Raw genomic sequence first — 24,452 nt, forward strand, 5'->3', positions numbered from 1 at the left:
AGGGCTACTGTGATGAAAGAGAAAACTAATTCCTTTGAAGGAACTTATGTTTTGTTGAGGGATACAGGTAGTTAAGCACATGATTCTAATTTAATGTTTGATTTGATCTTTTTTTTCTTTTTTTTTTTTTTTTTGAGATGGAGTCTCACTCTGTCACCAGGCTGGAGTATAGTGGCGAGATCTCAGCTCACTGCAACCTCCACCTCCCGGGTTCAAGCGATTCTCCTTCCTCAGCCTCCCAAGTAGCTGAGATTACAGGCGCATGCCACCACACCCAGCTAATTTTTGTGTTTTTAGTAGAGATGGGGTTTCACCATGTTGGCCAGGATGGTCTCGATCTCTTGACCTCGTGATCCACCTGCCTTGGCATGCCCGCCTTGGCATATGGACATGGTGGCTCATGCCTGTAATCCCAGCACTTTGGGAGGTCGAGGCGGCAGATCACAAGTTCAGGAGTTCAAGACCAGCCTGGCCAACATGGTGAAACCCCGTCTCTACTAAAAAAAAAATACAAAAATTAGCCAGGCATGGTGGCGTGTGCCTGTAATCCCAGCTACCGGGAAGGCTGAGGCAGGAGAATTGATTATACCAGGGAGGTGGAGGTTGCAGTGAGCCTAGATTGAGCCGCTGCACTTCAGCCTGGGTGACAGAGCAAGACTCAGTCTCAAAAAAAAAAAAAAAAAGAAAGAAAGAAAAACAGGTTTATTATTTGTATAGAGCATGATTTGAATCTCTTTTTGGCCACTCCCTTCACAGTTCTTGGTTTGGGCAAGTCATTTAATGTCACTTTTTTAGTTTCTTTCTGGATTAATGATACAACTTAGCTGTTCTCACTGGGATGTTTGTGTTTCAGTCTTACGTGTTATTCAAGTGCTCCCTGGCTGGTGTTCAGTTATGGTTGGCATGGGCTATATTTGGTTTTACTGGCTAAGCAGTCTTAAGAGGAGCTTCGTTATTTAGAAATTGAACACTTTGTTTTCTTTTCAAGCAATGCTTTCCAAAAAACAAAAAAAAAGCTTTCCTATTCAGCTTATCTAAACTTTCCCCACTCCCATCAGTGTTTCTGTGCAGATAATTGTATTCTGTTAGGCCTGATAGAAGGTGATGCTGAATGCAAGGTGTCCTGTCAGTCTCACACTGCACACACAGCAACCCGAGATGGCACTTGGTCAGCCGTCTCTGTTTTTCTTTGTTATTGCATCATTGTCTTTTAAAACTCTGTTGTATGTCGGCTTTTCTCTGCAGACAAAATAACTTTTCTTATATACCTCTGCCATTTCAAACACTAGCCCTCTCTATACTTAGAGCATAGTGTCTGTAGGATTCACAATGCCCAGTTCACCCATGGGAGGTTAGAGAAAGCTTTTTAGTATTGAGATGAGGTACAGATGTGTGCCCCTCCCCCTCTTCAACTTTACTTCTGTCCATCCCAGCTGAGATGACGAACCTATTCAGAGTTTATCCTCATGTCCCATCTGGGCTCAGTATGAAACACTGGTGTTTGCCTTTAGTTACCACTAAATCCAAAGAGTTAAATAAAGATCTTGGCATCTTTTCTTTATTGCTTTCCCAAGTGTAATATTTAAGCTCTTTGTGAGTCTCATGAGGTTTTCCTTATTAATAGATTAGTTACCTCATACTAGGTTTAAGGATTTCCCTCCCTCCATTTCTTGCTCCTTCCTTCCTTCCTTCCTTCCTTCCCTCCCTCCCTCCCTCCCTCCCTCCTTCCCTCCTTCCTTCCTTCCCTCCTTCCCTCCTTCCTTCCTTCCCTCCTTCCCTCCTTCCCTCCTTCCCTCCTTCCCTCCTTCCCTCCTTCCCTCCCTCTCTCCCTCTCTCCCTCCCACAGGGTCTCACTCTGTCACACAGGCTGGAATACAGTGGCACGATCACAGCTTACTGCACCCTTGACTTCCTGGGCTCAAGTGAACCCCCACCTCAGCCTCCTGAGTAGCTGGGACCACAAGTGCACACCACCATGCCCAGTTAATTTTTGCATTTTTTGTAGAGATGGGGTTTCACTATGTTGTCCAGGCTGGTCTCGAACTCCTGGGCTCAAGTGATCCTCCCACCTCAGCCTCCCAAAGTGCTGGGATTATAGGTGTGAGCCACCACACCTGGCCTGGTTTGAGGATTTTCTAAATGTAAATTTTGGGAGAAAAGGGGCTTTTTGTAGTTGAAGCATGACAGTCATATTAACTTGCTTCATTTGGAGCTACATGAAATTTTTGTCATTGGAAGTAGGAATTACCTACTTGATAATGTAGGTGAGTACATTTTAGCCCCGTTGTTTGGGCGTGAGCTATGTCAGTGTTAAGTTAGTGACTTGTCTGTGTAAGTGATCTTTTTTCTTTTTCATAGAGAAATAAGTCATACTGTGCCAGACATATCTATCCATGGCAATCTCTCCTCAGTCCACTGCTCTCTGGATCTGTATAAATACAAGCTGATCCGCGGCTTATTAGAGAACAACCTGGGAGAACCCATAGAGGAATTTATGCGGCCTTATGATTTACAAGATCCAAGAATTCATGTGAGTGAGACCTTATGTTCTTCTGTCACTCTCATAGTCTCAGCTGACGGTCACCCTGTGTATCTATTCCTCAAACTCACTTGGAGAAAGAAGGTGGAGCAACAAGCAAATTAGATTTCTTGGCGTATGAGCCTGTTTTTAGGATGGCATCATCAGCTGTGGATTGACGAGCATTTTCCTTTTGTAGACTGTCCTGAGTGGAGAAGTGTACACCTGTATGTGCTTCCTCATTGATATGGTGAATGTAAGTCTGGAGCTTAAAGATCCAAAAAGAAAAGAAGGTGCTGGGTCCCTAGCCAGGTATGCCTTTGATTATATTATTATACTGTTAGTAACAGTATCCAAATAATACACATGTTTTGCATTGACACAGAGCAGAGGTTGCAGAGTGGTGGCCCACAGATGGAATGTTGTCTGCAGAGTGTCTTTTGGTTGATCTACACAGTGCTTTTGAAAAGTTTAGATTCATGCTCTATCAGTCAACATAGGTTAGGTTATGCTGTAGTAACAGACAACCCCAAAGTATCAGTGACTTAAAACAGTGAAGATCTTTTTCTCCCTCATACTCTGTGACCATTGTGGGTCTGGGCTGCTCTGCTTGTTGTAGTCGCTTAGGGTGACAGAGCAGCTAGTGTTTTGATGTGCCAGCGGGAAAAATGAGCTCTGAATGGTGTTGAATGGCAACTAAATGCTCTGGCAGACTTTGTGGAACTAAAATATGGTCCCACACAGGGTGATGGAGTCAGAAAGTCCTGTCTTGCTGTGTGTCTGAGTAGTTACGGGGTGGGAGATGCAGAACCACTTGATGTGCAGCATTGATGCCTTGCTGGCCAACATTTTCAAAGTTAGGGGCTAGGCGCAGTGGCTCAGGCCTGTAGTCCCAGCACTTTAGGAAGCCAAGGAAGGAGGATTGCTTGAGGCCAGGAATTCCAGACTGGCCTGGGCAACATAGTGAGAGACCCTGTCTCTACAAAAAATTAAAAAACTAGCTGCGCATGGTGGTGCATGCCTGTAGTCCCAGCTACTCAAGGCGTTAAGGTGAGAGAATCACTTGAACCAGGAGATTGAGGCTGCAGTGAGCCATGATCACACCACTGCACTCCAGCCTAGGTGACAGCTGAAACCTGGTCCCTCCCGCCCCAAAAAGTTGCAGGATTTTATATAAAAGGTTTGTATTTAGCTTCTTTTGAAAAACTGGAAGCTTTGGCAATACTAGGTCCATGTTCTCACTTGGAAGCATCTGGAAGCGGAGTAGCAATTGCTCCCTTGAAATGGGGCATATGCTTACCTAGTCCTTCGCTTATTTCTGTCACTTCCTTAGTCAGTGTAAATGTATGAATTCGTGATTACTGGTGTGGAACTTTAAAAAGTGCATTTCACACTTAATAACCTTTTCATGTTGATCTCTTATCAGTCCTGTAAGCTGGGCGTACATCACTCTTTTCCAGATAGAGTTTCTGACTAGCTTAAGGTCGTATGACTGGGAAAGTGGTTTGGCATTTGAAAACAGGACTTCAAGGCCAGTGATTCCCTGCTGAAGCACTCTGTCTTCTAGTTAGTCTTTCTGTTGAAAGTCCGCCACGGTCTGTACCTAACTCAGCTGGTGAGAGCGTTGCATACTGAAACTGTGGTCCCACATTGGTGGTCTTGTGAGCTAGCAATTTTATTCTTTCCTTTTTTTTTTTTTTTTTTTTTTTTTTAAGACAGAATCTCTCTCTGTTGCCCAGGCGGGACTGCAGTGGTGCCATCTCGGCTCACTGCAACCTCCACATCCCTGGCTCAAGTGATCCTCCCACCTCAGCCCCACCGAGTAGCTGGGACTACAGGCATGAGCCACGTCACCCAGCGATTTTCTGTGATGATTGGCTGTGCCCTTAGTTTTTCTCAATATGGAATAATTCTGTATGTATTGTCATAATGGTACCGAGTAATTATGAATTCCTCATTGCAGCTTTCTCGGTTATGAAAAAACGATGGTTCCAAATGCATTTCCTGTTGGTAGATTAGTTGAATTATTCTCCATGTGAAGAGTATTATTTGTTCCCAGTACACTACAGCAGTTTCACATAAACAGTTGGACAGACCCTGGAGAGTGAAACATCCAGGCAAGCTAGAAGCTGACAGATGAAGGCCCAGAGGGACCCTTGACATCCTTTGGGGATATACAGCCTTCTTAGACTTCTGATGGGTCATGGGAATGATAACGGATTCAGAATATGTTAAACATGTGGTATTGTTACTTCTCATGCCGTTCCTATGAACAAGATCATCTCTTTGGAACTGGAAAAGTAAGATCCAAGGCACAGTGACACTAACTCCATTTTGAGGAGTCTATTAACAGAATCAACAAGAAAACTCAGAATGAAAGTTATTCTCCTTATGGGACTTAGATATATTTTTGATTTTGCTCGTTATCTCGAACTTATATACTTTTGTAAAATGGAAGAGTTGTGTTTCACATCTTGCTTGCTTTCTTTTCTCTCTTTTAGATTTGACTTCAAGAAATGCAAACTGCTCTATGAAAGTTTTTCCAACCAAACCAAGTCCATTAACTTGGTTTCCCATTCCATGATGGCTTTTGACACCCGTTATGCTGGGCAGAAGACCAGCCCTGGCATGACGAATGTGTTCAGCTGTATCTTTCAGCCCGCTAAGAACAGCAGCACCACCCAAGGGTCCATTCAGATTGAACTACATTTCAGGTAGCAGGTCCAGACCCTTCTCTGCCTTTCTTTGTGGAGACATTCCCTTTTGGGTCACGTCTTTGTTGGCTTTAGAACATCAAAAAACCAAGGAATCACTAGACAGATAAATAGATAATGGCTTAATCAGTGCAGTGTACTGTATATTAATGCATTATTCCTATAATCTTGCAGTTTCATTTATTGGCCAAAAGATGTCTCTGTTGCCTTTAAAAATAAAGTAGTTAAGAATTGAGCCTTAAAATCAATCTCCTTGTAAGCTGTAGACTGTTTTAATTTGTAAAGTGGCTTGGAGAAGGAAGAAATTATGCTGGTTTAAGGAAAAAAGTAAAAAGACTTTTGGTCTTTACAAATAATGGAAGGGAAGGTGGGTTTGACTTGAATTACCCATTCAAGTCTTACTGACTCATTATCCATGTATACATAGTTTTTACCTTTTTGAATTAGGTTATATTTTTCTTTCTGGTATTATGGGAGGCAGTGTTCTATATAGAAAGAACATATATTTTGGAATCAGACAGATCTGGGCTGAAAACCTTGCTCTCCTATTATCTAGCTATGTGTCCTTAGACAAGTTGTTTAGCCCCTTTGAGCCTCAACTTCCTCTTATATAAAATAGAAAATTACCTATACCCACCTCATGGGGTAGAGGTAATAATTAAAGTAATTCTGGCATATTGCTTGGCACAGTTGGCAGCTGTCATTGTTATGCTGATATAACATGTTGTTTTATGATATACCATTTGCTGATGTTATGGCTGAACATAGACCTTAAAACTGAAAAATTAGGCCTGGTCTAAAGAAGTCTTTCAGTGAAAACCCAAAAAGGAGACCCTCCCTTCTGTTAGTGCTTCATGTCATCAGACATGTTGTAAGTATAAACCACTAAGTAAAAAGATTGTGAAAAACTTTGTGTTTAAGCAAAAAACAGAACAAAAAGTCATCAGGATTATTCTTACATGTTTCTGTATGCCTGACATTTCAATGTGCTGTTCAGAATTCCCCAGGGTTTAGGTTTTGTTTTGTTTTTCGAGAGAGGTCATGATTTCTTCATATGCCTTTAGGAAATCTAGCAGAGTAGACATTTACATTTTTTTATGAACTTTAAAAGTTCAGGAGTAGGAATCCTAATTGCCTCTTATTGGGCCCTGCCATGAGCCAGGCACTTTAGCTACGCTCAGTATAATCCTGACAAGTCTGCAGAGGGGATGACTTCTTCCTCATTTTGCAGTTTCCAAGTTAGAAACTTGGATAAGGGTTAGTTCACTCTTCTAAGGTCACACAGCTCGTAGGTCAAGAAATCAGAGCTCAAACCTGGGTATGTGATGTTAAAGCCCATGATGTTTCCAACAGTCTTTGGACCTATCAGGTGTCTCGTCATTGGGCTGATTGCAGTCATGTGATAAGATGGCCCCATTTTGCAGTTCATTTGGTTGAAGATGTTTCCTTTGAACAAGAGGCTGGCATCTGTTTGTTCCATCTGGAGAAACATTTCTTTTTTTTTTTTGAGACGTAGTCTCACTCTGTCGCCTAGGCTGGAGTGCAGTGGCACGATCTCAGCTCACTGCAACCTCCGCCTCCCGGGTTCAAGTGATTCTCCTGTCTCAGCCTCCTGAGTAGCTGGGACTACAGGCTCCTGCCACCATGGCTGGCTAATTTTTGTATTTTTAGTAGAAACGGGGTTTCACCATATTGGCCAGGCTGGTCTCAAACTCCTGACCTTGTGATCTGCCCGCCTCAGCCTCCCAAAGTGCTGGGATTACAGGTGTGAGCCACCGTGCCCGGCCGAGAAACATTTCTTTTTGAGTTTACTTTATTATTATTGATCTGGCTTCTTAGACTGTCAGGTAGTTGTCTCCTTCTTATCATATTTTTAATATACAGGGAGCCTGGAAATATTTGTGTATTATAGGTGTATAATTGGAGTCAAATAATAAAGCCTTACCTTGGCTCTTGCTAACAGAAATACTATTGTTAGCAAGAGGAGTGAAATGTTCTTTAGATGGGAATTTTTGAACGCCTTTCGTGTCTGAAGAAGAATTACTCTTCTGTTGGGATCTTGTGTGTCAAATATAAATCACTTCACAGTGTTTAAAGGCTTGAAATATTTTCCAGAAAAGGGATCCAACACACTGTGACTTTCCAGTTAAATACAGAACTCTGACAATCTATGTTCAAAATGGGGTGGAAAAATTTTACTGAGGGCAACATTTTTTCTCCATTACACAAGAGTAGAGTGTTTCTGTGAAAAATGCTGTGTCTGTAAGAAGGAGCCATGCATCATGCTGCCCTTTTACTAGAGGCAGTGAGCCAGGTTTAGGGGAAATGAGGAGCAGAGAAACCAGCCTCAGAAATATTTCCAAGTTAGCTTTTCCCACATAGGAATACCTTTTATGTCAGGGAACCAGGTACATGTAGTAGCTACAACCCCAGAGTCGCTTTTGGGCTTACGGAACCAAGTTCAACCCAGAAAACCGCATTCAAGTGCTCCAGCCCCTGTTTCTCTTGTCCTACTCATCTGAGGCCTTATCCATTAGTAGGCTGGGCCTGCTGATGTACTAATAGGGCCTGGATGAAGCCCCTGACTGCATCATGGTTTGAAGTCAGGCCTGAGAGTCCTCGCTGGGTTTTCACGTCAAATGTAGACTTCGGAGCAATGGCAACTTGTCCCCCCACCCCCACCCCAACTCTACCTCTAGGTTACTTAGGGGACATTTATCCCTGGTAAATGTCATCTTACTTGTTCTCCTCGGGCCAAAAGATCTGGGCTGTCAGGTCAGTTTCAATTAGAGAAACAATCTAGTACTAGTGTGTGTAAACTTGGTATTATTTATAAAGAAATGATCCTAGACGTCAAAGAAGGAGTGCCTCATTGATCTTCTTGAAATAGCCCATAGGGAAAGAAAGTGACATTTATCAAATGACTGCTTTGTGCCTGGTGCTTTATTTCTTATCATATTAATATTCTTCATTTTATAAGTAGGGAAACAGGCTGAGAGAAGGTAGGTGGCTTTCGTAAGATAACACAGCTCGTAAATGGCAGTATTTAAGTCTGCGTCTCTGACTTCAAAGCCTGTGCTCTTTATCATACCAGAATTTCTTGACCTTAGCACTATCAACGTTTTGGGTCAGATAATTCCTTATTATGGGGCTGTCCTGTACATCGTGGGTTAGTTAACAGCATCCCTGGCCTCTACCTATACTAGATAGCAATAGCAACCCCCTCTAGTTGCAATTGCAATTGAAATGTGAATAAAAAATGTCTCCAAGGGCCAGGTGCAGTGGCCCACATCTGTAATCCTAGCACTTTGGGAGGCTGAGGCGGGAGGATCACTTGATCCCAGGAGTTTGAAGTTACAGTGAGCTGTGATCGTGCCACTGCATTCCAGTCTGGGCAACAGAGTGTGACCCTGTCTCTTAAAAAAAAAAGAAAAGAAATAATGTCTTCAGGGGAGCAAAACCATCTGATTGAGAACCACTGAGCTATACTACCTATGCTGCTTTCTTATAAAATGTTCCTTGTTGTTTAAAAATATGATTAACTTATTATACTGAATGTGTTATTAAACCAGTAATACACTGAATGTGTTATTCAACCAGTGTTCAAAGTTTACTGATACTCAAAGCAGGCAGTTTGGAAAATACCGGAATACCACCTGCCAAAACTGAGCAGTACATTTGCAGGTTATTGAAATAACCATGTTTCTTTTTTCCTATTTATTTTCTCCTGTCTTCTTTTTATAGATCTACCAAGGATTCCTCCTGCTTTACAGTAGTTCTCAACAATCTCCGTGTGTTTCTCATATTTGACTGGCTACTGTTAGTCCATGATTTTCTCCACACTCCCAGTGATATTAAGAAACAAAATCATGTTACTCCTTCTCGCCACCGTAACTCTAGCAGCGAATCTGCTATAGTTCCCAAAACTGTGAAGAGTGGAGTAGTTACCAAGCGGTCTTCCCTTCCTGTGTCCAATGAAAGGCACCTGGAGGTCAAGGTCAATGTAACAGGTGATTATATGTGGGTGTGATTCATTGGTGCTTAGTTTGGATGTTAGGCTCAATATCTGCCTTACAGGATGATTGCTCTTTTGCCTCCCATTTTTCACGTGAGCACTTACACATTTGCCTCTTTTACAGACCTGCAAGCATCAGAGGTCTTGGCCTCCATTTTCAGGTGGGAGCTGTCTGGCCCACTGAAGACTGCGGGGTCGCTTGTCCCTGTCCCCTGCCTGCCTAGTGCTTGTGTCTGGCCCGAGCACCCGCCTGGGCAGTGGTCTTTTTTTTTCCAGTGTACAGTCTGTCTGTAATTTGCCGTTTGATCTTTAGGGCCCTAACAGATGTGGTTTATGGAGTTTAGGCAAGTTTCGTATGTGAAAACCTCAGTTTTGAAGATAAGTAAGTGAGGAGATTTTTATTTTCATTACAAAAAGAATATTTTTCTTTGTATAGATGAATTTACTATGGCATTTGTTGACTAGCGAACTCATCTAGTGCATCTGTATGTATTTGTGTATTTATTGTTATGTTTCTGATACCTGTACCTGCTTCTCAGTGATTTTGATGAAGCTGGCTAGCACAATGCGTTTTACATGAGTTCAGTTACAAGCTTGATCTGTATATGGTTTTTGATAAAAACACAGTTTAAAGCAGAGTGAATTTACTATTAAATATATACACATAAGTTGAAAACTTACTGATTTCAAAAATCTCGATATTAAATTGGTCTGTTCTTTGTAAACAACCTTGTAAATAGCTACTTAGATGCATAGTGCCTGACCAGCATTAGTAGCTGAGTCTTCTCCCTGGAATTTTCAGTCAGGTCATCACTTAGAGAAAGGATGATTTTGTGAACTTCTGAATATCTCCTAGGCCTCCCAGGAGAACTGGGGTGCAGTTTCTCTGTCTAGTTTAGAAATATTCTAAAGAGAGAAATCACATCCCAGTCTTTCCTGCTGCTGCAGAGCTCTGTTGGTTCAGCTGCATGTGGCCAGATGCAGAGTATTGGTTCAGGATGACACTGTTAGTAAATGTCAGCAGACATTTTGGAGAAAAATCTTACTGGTTCATGTTGTTGCCTGGTGGAAATGCGCTCGCTGCCTTGTTTGCAACAGCCTGGTGTTTTCCAGCTTCCCAGCTCTGGCTTGATTGACGACGTTGTCCTTTCCAGGTACGGAGTTTGTGGTCATTGAAGATGTGTCCTGCTTCGACACCAATGCCATTATTCTGAAAGGCACCACAGTGCTCACCTATAAGCCCCGGTTTGTTGATCGCCCCTTTTCAGGAAGTTTGTTTGGCATTGAGGTAAGAAGTCTATGTGTTGATCACAGCACTGCGTGTTGGCTCACGAGCAAAGCATCTGGAAGAGAATTTTCCCTCTTAAACTTTCATGAGGGGAAGGAATTAATGAAATTGGAAGACCCTTGCCCTCTTTTCCTCTTTGTTTTCTCCCCAAATCTACCTGGCTATTCTAATGCATGGATTCAGTCTCCCAGTGTTAGTCTATAAATATGCAGAGGACATTTGCCTCTTTCTCTTACACCCTTTCTTCCTCAAGAAGTTCAAGGAGACTTTTCCAGTCCCCACTGCCCTGTCAGGCACCTTGTTGTGCCCTCTCGTTCTGCAGACCTCGTCCATGAAGGTGAGGCCGTGGGTCTCATTTCCCCTGCATCCCTCTCCTCACCTGGAGTGCAGCCCTGTGAAGAGCTAGGGCTTTGGGAAGGGAAACCTATTTATACAGAGTGCTAAGGATCTTATATGTTATCCTTTCAGGAATACCTGATCCATAAAAGGGCAGCTCTGCAGAGTCCTGCCTGGCTGAAAGGAGCGCATGGATAATAGTGGTGCTTTAGGCTCTCATGTCATCTCATGAAGAAGATAATTTGTGTTGGAGTGGCCTTTGTAGCTCGGAAATGTCATTATGCAATATTAGGCCAAAAGTGCTTTGTCTCTTGTTAAGCCATGGGGTGTGGAGACAGAAGGGGAATCGTGGCAGGTTCTTGTTTCTATCAGATGTTTGTACTTGACTCATCTCAGCTCACATTCCCCATGCCACACTGTTAGGATATTTGGTCGGGGTTCCTTTTGCTTTACGATCGGCCTTTTCATGCCCCTTTCTTTCCAGTGGTATTGCTCAAAGTTTGAAGGAATAAAACTTATTTTCACTGTTAGGAGTATATGGTTTATGGTTTTGAGACAAACATAGTGGAATAAAGCCTGTAGGGACTCTACTTCTTGACCACTTGTTTCTGTCTTGTAAAGAAACCTCCGTTTGAGAGGAAGGATTTGCATGCTGGTGTGATGTGAGTTGATCATGAAATTGCAATTCATCTGCCTTCCAAGCCACCACAATACTAGCTTTGAATGGAGAATCTTGCTGATTGATTAATGAACTGTCAGGTACAATTGGGTTTTGTGTAGCAGAAACCCCTGAAGGAAAAAGGAAAATGAAACTGTTCTGCTCTGAAGTCTTAGGACAACTACATGGCAAAATATTTGAGATCGCTGGAAACTCCTTTCAGTCCTGCCTTTGAGGCAGCACAATTGGATCTGAATTTTAAGACCAGCTTGATAAATCATCAGGGGAGAATTTATAAAGTATGAATTTTGAATATGGCAAAGGACCTTGCTGTCACATGTTTTTCACAGCACTAGGATAGGTCCCAAAAAGGTGGTGGAGGGGGTGAAGAGGGTAAGAAGGACCCAAATGATTGGTCTTTTCTTTCCGCTGTGCTCTTCCTGAGCATGCAAAATAATTTGGTCCTAGAACTGGAGTCCTTTCTCTCTCTCTCCCTTCTTTCTCTCTCCCAATGAATGTATTTATTTTTTAACCTTTTATTATAGAACATTTCAAACATATACAAAGTAAACAGAATAATATAATGAACTCCATATATACCTATCACCCAGTTTTAATAATATGTTTATTTTTAATTATGAAGATATTGTGAGGAGGGAAAATAATCATATATGATTTCTGATAGGTTATTTTGGTGTGTTTCTTTCCTTAAAGTTGGGGAGTAACATTATTTTGGGTTGTGTTTTCACTTTGTGTTGTAACTGTCTTCTTAAAATCCATATGGTCTTTTTTGTCATTTTTAAATGGCTGCAAATATTCCATTGAGTAGATGTGATATAACCTTGGCTGCTCTTAATTTTTTTTAACTATTAAATAATGGTTTAGTGAATTTTTTTCTTTTTTGGCTAGTTCCTAGAGAGAAGTAGGATTACTGGATCAAAGGGTGTGAGATTTGTAAGGCTTTCGGGGTGTATTGCTAAACTGCCTTTTCCTCTGGGTGAACCACTGCGTGTGCTCTCGGCAGCGGTGGGGGGCTTCACTCTTCACAGTATTTATTTCAGCAGTTGTTATGGGTCTTATGATAACACATGGCTGACTGCTTCTGAGATAGCCTCTTTGTGCTGGTAGTTGGACCCTTCCTAAATCAGACATTAATTCTCGCCATATTGCATTTCATTCTGTAGGTGTTTTCATGCCGACTAGGGAATGAGCATGATACAGCTCTTTCAATTGTGGATCCCGTACAAATTCAAATGGAGTTGGTGGGGAATTCTTCTTATCAAAATAGTTCAGGATTGATGGATGCATTCAATAGTGAAGATTTCCCACCTGTCCTGGAGGTAATGATGCAAAATCTGTGCAATACGTTGATATGCTCTCAAACACTGTCCTATGCAGGCACTCTTATTTGCTCTGAGCCCAACAACCTCTTTTTTTGTTTTGTTTTGTTTTGTTTTTTGAGATGGAGTCTTGCTCTGTCGCCCAGGCTGGAGTGCAGTGGTGCGATCTCGGCTCACTGCAAGCTCCACCTCCTGGGTTCACGTCATTCTCCTGCCTCAGCCTCCTGAGTAGCTGGGACTACAGGGGCCTGCCACCGTGCCCGGCTAATTTTTTGTATTTTTTAGTAGAGACAGGGTTTTACCGTGTTAGCCAGGATGGTCTCGATCTCCTCACCTCGTGATCCGCCCGCTACATGGTGCAGTTTTGTGACCATTTGACCTCATAGTTGAGACATCTTACCTTACGGTTATTAGTGCTTACTTTCAAGATCTTTGCAATCTTTTAAATGAGAAATTTGGTGCAGTATCTGTTGGACTTTTAGAAGTTGAAATAGGAATTACATCTGTAAGAGATATGGATGTAAAACCAATGCAGCTTTAAAAAATTGCTACCTTTTTTACATTTTGTTAGATTCAGTTACAAGCCCTGGATATCAGACTCTCCTATAATGATGTTCAGCTGTTTCTTGCCATTGCAAAATCCATCCCAGAGCAAGCTAATGCTGCAGTGCCAGACTCAGTGGCCCTGGAGTCAGACTCCGTTGGCACTTACCTTCCAGGTGCATCTCGCGTTGGAGAGGAAATCAGAGAAGGGACAAGACACACCTTAGATCCTGTCTTGGGTAGGTGTTTAACTATAAAACCCACTCAGTCTTGCTAATAACGCTTCTTCTTTTTGACTCTTAAAATTTTCTTTTGCACAACTAAATTGTACACAGTTTAATTGTATGTCATTAAGTATAACTGTAAGTCCTAAGTATGACTCTCTCATTTTTTAAAATTTAAAAACAAACAAAACATCCCTAACCAACTACTCCACTATTTTTCCTCTTTCAGTTTTTTCCAGAGTTACCTGGATAATGCCAAAGTTGAGTTTTAAGCTTTGAGAGTTCTCCTCTGAAATTATATGAGTAACACTAAGTTTTATTTTTAAGCTTTTATTATTAATTTATTGGTTTATTTTTAGACAGGGTCTTGCTCTGTCACCCAGGTTGGAGAGCAGTGGTGTGATCATAGCTTATTGCAGCCTCAAACTCCTGGGCCCAAGCTATCTTCACTCCTCAGCCTCCTGAGTAGCTGGGAGGGACTATAGGTGTGTGCCATCATGCCTCACTAATTTTTACCTTTTTTTTTTAGAGACGGGGTCTTGCTATTTTGCCCAGGCTGGTCTTGAGTTCCTGGTCTCGAGTAGTCCCCCTGCCTTAGCCTCCCAAAGTATTGGGATTACTGGTGTGAGCCACTACTGTGCCCACCTCTAATTTTAAGCTGTTTCAAACACAGTCAGGGGAAAATGTAGGGGCCAGATGGTGGAATGAAGGGGCCAGATGCGAAATAGACCTTCCCCCCCCACCCCAATTCCTGGCCAGGACACCACTTTAAAAACACAGTCAATATGAGGAAGAGACTCAAAGATTTCAGGGTACACTTGATAGAATTCTCCAATTAGGAGTCCAGTTTTGCTTAGAGAAATGAAATGTTTTAGTCACGGGTTTTTAAATTTCTTTTCTTTTTTTCTAAAATTAGTTTGTAGATTAATTTACATAAAATTATTTATGAAAATTTTATGCTATTTGTTTCCTAGAGTTACAGCTGGCTAGGCTGCAGGAGCTGGGATTCAGCATGGATGATTGTCGCAAAGCTCTTTTGGCGTGTCAAGGTAATTTGAACAGGGTTCTGTTACCCGTTGTTTATCTTGATGATATGCTTCCTTCCCATTTCCTCTCTTACTTCCACAAGGTGACTTAGAGAGCTGAGTGTGTTTGGAGGACGCTTTATGTGTCTTCTCTGGACTGCATATCATCTTAGGTCAGTAATAATAACGTCACCCAGGCTGGAGTGCAGTGGCGCCACCTCAGCTCACTGCAACCTCCACCTCCCCAGTTCAAGCCATTCTTCTGCCTCAGCCTCCTGAGTACCTGGGTTTATAGGCATGCGTCACCACACCTAGGTAATTTTTGTATTTTTAGTAGAGGTGGGGTTTCACCATGTTGGCCAGACTGGTCTCGAACTCCTGACTTCAAGTGATCTGCCCGCTTTGGCCTCCCAAAATGCCGGGATGACAGGCAGCAGTCTTTAGTAGTGGATAAGAATTTGGGTTCTGAGGCCAGGTGCGGTGGCTCATGCCTATAATCCCAACACTCTGGGAGCAGAGGCAGATGGATCGCCTGAGGTCAGGAGTTCAAGACCAGCCTGACCAACATGGCGAAACCGCATCTCTACTAAAAATACAAAATTAGCTGGCGTGGTGGCTCATGCCTGTAATCCAGCTACTCAGGAGGCTGAGGCAGGAGAATCGATTGAACCTGGGAGGCGGAGGTTGCAGTGAGCCAAGATCATGCCCCTGCACTACAGCCTAGGCAACAGAGCGAGACTCTGTCTCAAAAAAAAAGGGGCTCTGGAGCTGGCTGACTGGGTTCAGATCCTTACTGTCTGCCACTACCTATTAATGACTTTGGGAAGTGGCTTTAACCTCTGTGAACCAGTGCTTCCTTATCTGTAGAAAGAAGATAAGAGGCTGTCTCCCTCAGAGATTTGATGTAAGTAAATGACTATATGCAAAGCACTAAGAAAGTGCTAGCACACAGCAAGTGCTCTATAAATGTTAACCACTGTTACTAGTGGTTGTGCTAATGGCGGTGATATTGATAATTATGACCATTTATTGAAGTCCTGTATGCCTATCTTTGTGTTTTCTTTTTGCATCCTCTTCACAGCCCTTGGAGGCAGACATTATTATTCCCACTTGAAATGAGGAAACCAGCTCAGATTGGTTAGGTAAAACTTCTTAAGTAAACTTGGTGGAGGTCACATCTTAGTCCCCTACGATGGACTTAAAGCCAGGTCTACCTGCCTCCTAAATCTGTGTTCTTTCTACTCCATCTCACTTCCTTTCCATCTCCATGTTTCCCTTTCTCTTCAAAAAGAGAAGTACAGCACAGGCTGCATTTCCTTCCATCTTTTTTTTCCCCCTTTTTTAAAAGACAGGGTGTCACTCTGTTGCCCAGGCTGGAATGCAATCATAGCTGTGGCGCAATCATAGCTCACTGCAGCCTCCAACTCCTGGGCTCAAGCAATCCTCCTGCCTCAGCCTCCTTTCCAGTCTTTACACTTGTGTGCACTTTCTCTCTTTCTACTTCTCTTTTTTTTTTTCTTTGAGACAGAGTCTCGCTCTCTTGCCCAGGCTGGAGTGCAGTGGCGCGATCTTGGCCCACTGCAACCTCCGCCTCCCAGGTTCAAGTGATACTCCTGCCTCAGCCTTCTGAGTAGCTGGGATTACAGGTGCCCGCCACCATGCCCAGCTAATTTTTGTATTTTTAGTAGAGACAGGGTTTCCCTTTTTTGTACAGGCTGGTATTGAACTCCTGACCTCGTGATCCACCTGCCTTGGCCTCCCAAAGTGCTGAGATTACAGGCGTGAGCCACTGTACCCGGCCTCTTTCTACTTCTCTACCTACTGTGGACAGTATATCCAACACACACACATGCACACATTACATTTTTAATGTACTGGTAGATTCTGTTGCCAATACAATTTTATAGTCTTTTAAAAATATTTTATTGAATTATGATTGTAATTCTGTTATGATATACTTAATATATCAGCAGCATCTTCCCATGTCATTGAAATTATTTATCAATACTGATCTTTTTACATTGACTCTAAGGATATATTATAATTTACTTAATCATTCTTTACTTGTTATTCAATATTATACACACTTCTATGTAGTAAACATTTTTTGGTGTGAACTTTTGTCTATGTCTTTTAAGTATATCCTTGGTAGAGTGATCTATATTTTAAATACCAGACCAAAGGGTATAGATATATTTTTCAGGCTCTTTACTTGATTTCTTTTTTTTTTTTTAATTTTTCTTTTTTAAAATTTTTTTTGGGGCTCTTGAATCGACAAATCTTTTTCTAAAAAAATTGTATCTGGGTTATTCCAGCCAATTTATGTGTGAAAAGGCTTGTTTCATGACATACTGGTTTACATTAACTTACCTTTTGGATTCTGAAAAAAATGAAGGTAGACCTAGTTCTCATGTGTTCTTGGTTTTGTTTTACCCAGTCATTAGTTTTTGGTTTAATTAATTTTATACCCCTTAATGTTTACTTTTCCTATGCTTTTTACTCTTTCTTTAACAATTCGAGCACCTTTTTTTTTTTTTTTAATTAAAGTTCTGAGAACCTTTTGGATTTTTTTTTTTTTTTTTTTTTAATTTTAGATACTGGGTTTTGCTCTGTTACCCAGGCTGGAGTGTAGTGGTGGCACAATGATCATGGCTCACTCTAGCCTCAAACTCCTAGGCTCAAATGATCCTCCCACCTAAGCCTCCTGAGTAGCTGGGACTACAGGATGCACCACCATACGTGGCTAATTTTTAAATTTTTTGTAGAGACAGGTCTTGCTATGTTGCCCAGGCTGGTCTCAAATTCCTGACCTAAAGTGATCCCTTGCCTAAACCTCCCAAAGCATTGGGCTTATAAGCATTAGCCACTGTGCTCGGCCTCTGTTTGGTAATTTTTTTTTTTTTTGAGGCAGAGTTTTGCTCTTGTTGCCCAAGCTGGAGTGCAGTGGTGCAATCTTGGCTCCCTGCAACCTCCGCCTCCCAGGTGCAAGCGATTCTCCTGTCTCAGCCTCCCAAGTATCTGGGATTACAGGCACATGCCACCACGCCCAGCTAATTTTTGTTATTTTTAGTAGAGGCGGGGTTTCACCATGTTGGTCAGGATGGTCTCGATCTCCTGACCTCATGATCTGTCCGCCTTGGCCTCCCAAAGTGCTGGGATTACAGGTGTGAGCCACTGCACCCGACCAGTAATTTTTATTTCTTCAGTAGATAAAACTTAATTCCATCAGTAATTAATATGATAATAGCAACTGATGTGTATCTGTAATGTAGATAATAGCAAATAATGTTTATTACACTCCAGGCTTCACTCTGAGAACTTTCCATGTACTCATTCTTCCCTCTTCCTGTCAGTCCTTTTAAGTGGGTGCTGTCGGGCACAAAGAGATCAAATAACTTGCCCAAGAGCCAGCAGCTGGTAAGGGCAGAACAGGACCTGAAGCCAGGCCATCTTGCTCTGGAGCCCATGCCCTCGATCATTTACACTGTCCCTGGTACTGGCCTCTGGTGACTTAGGTACCAAGTGGCGCCGTGTCTGGATCCTCTCCTGTCCTCTTCTCTCCTCTCCTTCAACAGATGGCATGGTAGAGAGGGATGGCTTCCTGGAGGCATTTTGGGCCAGATCGTGAAAGGTGTGGTAAATTTGAGTGGAAGGTGTGCAACAAAATGTTTGCTTAAAAGCAGGATGATTATTATGCTGAGATTCCCTCCCACCCCCCACCCCCACCACCCCCACCCTCCTTTTTTATTAAGTCCAAGAATACTTCTGGGATCAAGGCTCTCTTGGCTTCCCAGTAGGTCTCTAGAGAATTTTATTTCTCTGTTTCCTCTGTGAGTGGCTAGGGTAGCTGTGGAAGCTGGTAGAACTGATCACTTCTTAATTTCTTTGAAGGCCAATTGAAAAAGGCAGCAAGTTGGTTGTTTAAGAATGCGGAACCTCTGAAGTCTCTTTCCTTGGCCTCCACCAGCCGAGATAGCCCAGGGGCTGTGGCAGCGCCATTGATCTCTGGCGTGGAGATCAAAGCTGAGAGTGTGTGCATCTGTTTCATCGATGACTGCATGGATTGTGATGTTCCTCTCGCTGAACTCACCTTTTCCCGTGAGTGTTGTACTGGTTTTCAGATTCATCTTGAATATTTCCAGTCATTGCTGAATTATTTGGGGCCTTTTTTTTTTTGTCATTCATACTCTATTTAGTCATTTGGGTGAAATTTAGATAATAGTTTTACATATGTTTTTCATTATGTATGTTTTAAAGAAACTTTTATTTGCCATATGTGGCCTTCAGCCTATAGCTTGGGAATAGGAATGGTCTTTGATAAAATTTCCATTGTATTAACATCTCTAGCTAAATAATTCCTGATCTCTTCATTTTTCTTATCTTTTTATGTATCTAAAGATTGTAGTGAATACTGCTAGGCATTTAACAGATAAGCTCAGACAATAATGGTTCTGTTGTATTATCTCTTGAAAATCAAAAACAAGAATCTTACTAGAAAGTGCACTTCTGAGTCTCCACCACAGGGCCTTGTAAGGGGTAAAACACTGTTTATATGTGAGCTGTCCTTTGCTAGAGTGGGGACCAAAGTAGGAGTACTCTATCCTTTTTTTTTTTTTTTTTTACCTCAAAGGTGAGGTCTTGTTTTGTTGCCCAAGGTTGGTCTCAAACGCATGGGCTCAAGCAGTTCTCCTGCTTCCCGAGTGGCTAGGATTAAAGTGGCCCACCATCACTTCTGGTGGGAGTACTTGATCCTTAAGTGCCTCACTGCAAGCAGTGTGAAGTTGAGGTCTTTTTTTTTTATGAGACGGAGTTTCGCTCTTGTTGCCCAGGCTGGAGTGCAGTGGTGCAATCTCGGCTCACCACAATCTCTGCCTCCTGGGTTCAAGCGATTCTTCTGCTTCAGTCCCCCGAGTAGCCGGGATTACAGGCATGTGCCACCATGCCTGGCTAATTTTGTATTTTTAGTAGAGACAGGGTTTCTCCATGTTGGTCAGGCCTGTCTCGACCTCCTGACCTCAGGGATCTGCCCGCCTCAGCCTCCCAAAGTGCTGGGATTACAGGCATGAGCCACCGCGCCTGGCGAGGTTGAGGTTTTGAGGAGAGTAAATGAAAATCTCCCTACTCTGTTTAGTTTTAACTTTCCATTGTTTCGATCTTGCCAGCCTCTTCTTCCTTCAGGTAAAGTTTGCTTCTGGGGCTTGAATCTGGCCTCTTGCACATTACAGAGCTTGCCCTTTCCCTGAGCTTCTATCTAGGGCACCACCAGGGCTACTTGGTTAAAAGTGACAACTGGAATTTTGACTGTTTTGATGAATATCTTTTCTGCAGAGACTAATTAGTTGATTTCTTATTTTTCTATGTCAATCTTAACATTTTGAGCTAATATTTATCAGAACATGACTTCTCTAATCAGTCTGCCCTCTTATCATTTTTCAGGTAGAAATATCTTTTTTTTATTTTTTATCTTTATTTTTTGAGACAAGAGTCTTGCTTTGTTGCCGGGCTGGAGTGCAGTGGCGCTATCTTGGCTCACTGCAACCTCCGCCTCCCGGGTCCAAGCAATTCTCCTGCCTCAGCCTCCCAAATAACTGGGATTACAGGCGCCCGCTACCACGCCCAGCCAGTTTTTGTATTTGTAGTAGAAATGGGGTTTCACCATGTTGGCCAGGATGGTCTCAATCTCCTGACCTCATGATCCACCCACCTTGGCCTCTCAAAGTGCTGGGATTTACAGGCATGAGCCACCGTACCTGGCCAGAAATATCTTTTATGTTCCCACAGGCTTCAGGTACACCTGGGTGCCAGGGCTGGCACTGTGGGAAGGCAAATGAGGTACTTGCCTCAGGCACAGAGTTTAAGAGGGTGCCAGAAAACTCAGTCATGGAGATAAATAATATCTCAGTGCCATATTTTTAAAAATTGATGCAAAAAAGTACATGATGAACAAAGTATCAGAATGTTGTGTGCTCTCCTTTGCGAGTATTAGCTCTAATGTTTCTTTAATGTCATCAGCAAAAGGCAGTTTTGGTTGCTCCTGCCCTGCCGCTGCAGTAAGGTTTGCTTTCATTGCAGGTCTGAATTTTCTTCAGCGTGTAAGAACTAGCCCTGAAGGCTATGCCCACTTCACCCTTTCTGGAGATTATTATAACCGTGCTCTTTCAGGTCAGTATAAAGCATATGTTATCATGGGATTTAAAAAATAAATTTAAATGTTTGCCTGGACCTATTGCTACGTAAATTTTACATGAAGGAAAGGGCAGGGGTGGGGTGGGACGGGGAAAGATGAAAAGCAAGTAGACTGCATAAACACAGAAAATAAGGATTTTCTGTTGTGCTAAAAACATATCTGATATGTTGCAACTAAAAAGATGTTTTTGGCTGGACGTGGTGGCTCACGCCTGTAATCCCAGCACTTTGGGAGGCTGAGGAGGGCGGATCACCCTGAGGTCAGGAGTTCGAGACCAGCCTGGCCAATGTGGCGAAACCCTGTCTCTACTAAAAATACAAAACTAGCTGGGCATGGTGGTGGGCGCCTGTAGTCCCAGCTACTTGGGAGGCTGAGGCAGGAGAATCACTTGAACCCGGCAGGCGGAGGTTGCAGTGAGCTGAGATCACACCACTGCACTCCAGCCTGCATGACAGAGCAAGGCTCTGTCTCAAAAAAAATTTAAAAAGTGATGTTTTTATAGTTAATTTTTTTTGGATCCTGCAGTTTGGCTCATTCTAGAATATGCCATTGCTCAATAGTGAAGGATCATTTATTTCGCCCTGAGAGTAGCTAAATTTCAAGGGAGATTTATGCCCACAAGCATTTTTTTGTTTGTTTTTTGAGACCGAGTCTCACTCTGTCACCCAGGCTGGAGTGCAGTGGCACGATCTCGGCTCACTGCAACTTCTGCCTCCAAGTTCAAGTGATTCCCCTGCCTCAGCCTCCCGAGTAGCTGGGATTACAGGCGCTTGCCACCATGCCCAGCTAATTTTTTGTATTTTTAGTAGAGATGGGGTTTCACCAGACTGGCCAGGCTGGTCTCGAACTCCTGACCTCAGGTGATCCACCTGCCTCAGCCTCCCAAAGTGGTGGGATTACAGGCGTGAGCCACTGCGCCCAGCCAAGCATTTTAAACCTCAAGTCCCTTCACTCCCCACTGGGTTTGTTTGTTTTATTAGAATCTACTGAGTCAGTGACACTATATATTCTGCCCTACCTGCTCCCTAGAAAAAACAAAAACAAACAAACGAAAAACCACTGCTGATCAGAGCAGGCTATTTTTTGGGAGACGTAAACCTCAATAATATCGCAAGCATTTTCAGGTTTCTTTCTTCCCATTTGAAAGACCAAGGTAAGAGCCTATACATACAGGTTGAAATTCAGAAGCCATAATATATTAGGGCCAAGTGGTTTGAGCAGTGAACTTTGCCTTAAGAGAGCTGAAAGAAGGTCTCATCGGAATTGGTAGTAGGCATGGACAGAATAATCAGAGTAGTGCTGGGCAGTCCAAGGTGTAAACCTCCGACGGCCTGCTCCCTTTAATTTCAGTAAGAAATTAAACCTCGATTTGTTGTGCTGCTGCTGAGTGTTCTAGAGTATTTATCACATTTAATTTTATGTTAGTTAACATTTTCCCTGTGTACCAGACTCACTTAAAGCTAACACCCTTATTTCTTCATTGTTCAAAATGTTTCACTTTAGAATGTAATCCCAGCGCTTTGGGAGGCCGAGGTGGGCGGATCATCAGGTCAGGAGATTGAGATCATGCTGGCTAACATGATGAAACCCCATCTCTACTAAAAAAAAAATACAAAAAATTAGCCGGGCGTGGTGGTGGGCACCTGTAGTCCCAGCTACTCGGGAGGCTGAGGCAGGAGAACGGTGTGAACCCAGGAGGTGGAGATTACAGTGAGCCAAGATCGTGCCACTGCACTCCAGCCTAGGCGACAGAGCGAGACTCTGTCTTAAAAAAAAAAAAAAAAAAAAAAAAGAATAATGGCCCAAGTCTTTCTAGTTGAGAGAAACTCTTGCATGTGGGAGCTATTTTTCTGAGAATCATTTGTTTTCTTAGGCCAAATATTGCTTACTTTTAAAGTTGTATGAACACATTCAGGTCACTAAATGTCAAATGGTGTAAGGAGTCTAATGTATCTACTGTGTGTTACATACTGATTTGGATTTGTTCAGTGGCTGATTGTGTGAGTCTATTTAAAGATCTGTTAAAAATTAATTGGCTTTGAAAAGTTGAGTCTTTTAAGTCACAGTGATGTACCATTTTTCACACCCAAGAGATTAGCAAAAATTAAGTGGGACACTACTAATTATTGGAACATATAAGCCATAGTACTTGCTATTAGAACTATACATTACTACCACTACTGTGTAAAACAATTTGGCATGACCTGGTAAATTTGAGTGTAAGCATACTCAACAACCCCGCAATGTGTTGCTTCTAGGTCTGTACCGTAGAGACTGTCTTGCCTGTGTGAACTACAGATGTATATAAGGCTGCTTATAGTATAGTATTCCAATAGCAATAAAACTGGAATCAAGTGAATGTCTTTCAGAAGTAGAATGGATAAATAAATTGTATATTCATTATAATGCATGTTAATATTCAGTAGTGAAAACAATGTACCACGGTGACCTGCGTCAATGTGATGTAGCAGTATGCTCAACAGTATGCTCAAAGACATATTGGTGAACAAGAATAGAAACTTGAAAAAGAATGCGCATGGGGATTCCATTTATGTAAAGATCACAAGCAGGACAGTCTAAATGTTCTTAAGAAAGGTATATATGCTTGGTAAAATTATAAAGAAGAGCAAGGAAATGATTAACTAAAAATTCAAGTGAATGGTCACCTGGAGTTGGGTGGGAGAGGGTTGGTGGGAAGGAGGGGAATGAGATGGTAGGGAATGGCCCTTGGGAACTTGTAATTTTCTATTTCTTAAGTTGAATAGTGAGTACACGAGTGTTAGTGGTATTATTTTATATGTTGTTTATATAGTTTTTGTGCATATTTTAAGAAAAAGAAAAAGTGAGCCTTCATATGTACCTATTTATTCAACCAATGTATTGGTCCTGTAACCAGGAGAATCAAATTTAATAGCTATTTAAGACACTTTATTATTTTTCCAATCTTAGTCTGAGACTCCTTTTTCCATCTTGAGTGTCTCAACACATCCCACCTGTTCTTTAGTGGAAGAGGGCACATACACTGCCTGCCCTCCTTCCTGCCACCTCTGGAAGACCATCGTGGGGGTACATATATGCCTTTCCACTTGTGTCTTCTGGACAACGCAGACATCTGTAGGGTGACCTGTAGCTAAAGGTGGTTGGTGCTTTTGTTGTGAAATTGAATTGGAAGTAGAAAGCTATTAAGCTCGAGTTTGTCCTTGCTGAACATTTGCGAGCAGTGTTCCCCTATAAACTCTTGATATCTGCTGAACAGATGTCTTATTTCCTGTGTTCTTTTAGGCTGGGAGCCATTTATTGAGCCTTGGCCATGCTCTGTATCCTGGCAACAGCAGGCAGCTAGTCGTCTCCATCCTCCTCGACTGAAGCTAGAAGCCAAGGCCAAACCTCGTTTGGATATCAATATCACTTCTGTGCTAATTGGTGAGTAGAAAGTTGTCTTTCATAGACTGATACCTTTCCGTACCTAAGTTCTGAGTCTGGAAGACTATTAATCCTGGTTTAGCAAATACCTGGGCCTGTACCAGGCATCACTTCTTCATCCTGACTGCTTTCCTGATCAACCCTAATAGCCTCTTGATTCTCAACCTGTTTCTCCACCGTT

At 42.4% G+C, this 24,452-nt stretch overlaps 1 protein-coding gene across 2 annotated transcripts in view; it reads left to right on the forward strand.

Annotated features, from left to right (window-relative positions):
* The window catches only part of VPS13D (vacuolar protein sorting 13 homolog D), a 282,018-nt gene that overhangs the window by 79,066 nt on the left and 178,500 nt on the right, over positions 1 to 24,452 (forward strand). For both annotated transcript variants that reach the window (NM_015378.4, NM_018156.4), the window contains exons 28-38: positions 2,359 to 2,530; positions 2,718 to 2,830; positions 5,020 to 5,232; positions 8,977 to 9,242; positions 10,402 to 10,535; positions 12,714 to 12,869; positions 13,441 to 13,651; positions 14,611 to 14,685; positions 18,553 to 18,759; positions 20,734 to 20,823; positions 24,131 to 24,271. In NM_015378.4, coding sequence (NP_056193.2) covers positions 2,359 to 2,530; positions 2,718 to 2,830; positions 5,020 to 5,232; positions 8,977 to 9,242; positions 10,402 to 10,535; positions 12,714 to 12,869; positions 13,441 to 13,651; positions 14,611 to 14,685; positions 18,553 to 18,759; positions 20,734 to 20,823; positions 24,131 to 24,271 — 1,778 coding nt within the window. The remainder of the gene's footprint in view (positions 1 to 2,358; positions 2,531 to 2,717; positions 2,831 to 5,019; positions 5,233 to 8,976; positions 9,243 to 10,401; positions 10,536 to 12,713; positions 12,870 to 13,440; positions 13,652 to 14,610; positions 14,686 to 18,552; positions 18,760 to 20,733; positions 20,824 to 24,130; positions 24,272 to 24,452) is intronic.

This window comes from Homo sapiens, chromosome 1 (assembly GCF_000001405.40).
Source record: "Homo sapiens chromosome 1, GRCh38.p14 Primary Assembly".
Lineage (NCBI taxonomy): Eukaryota > Metazoa > Chordata > Mammalia > Primates > Hominidae > Homo > Homo sapiens.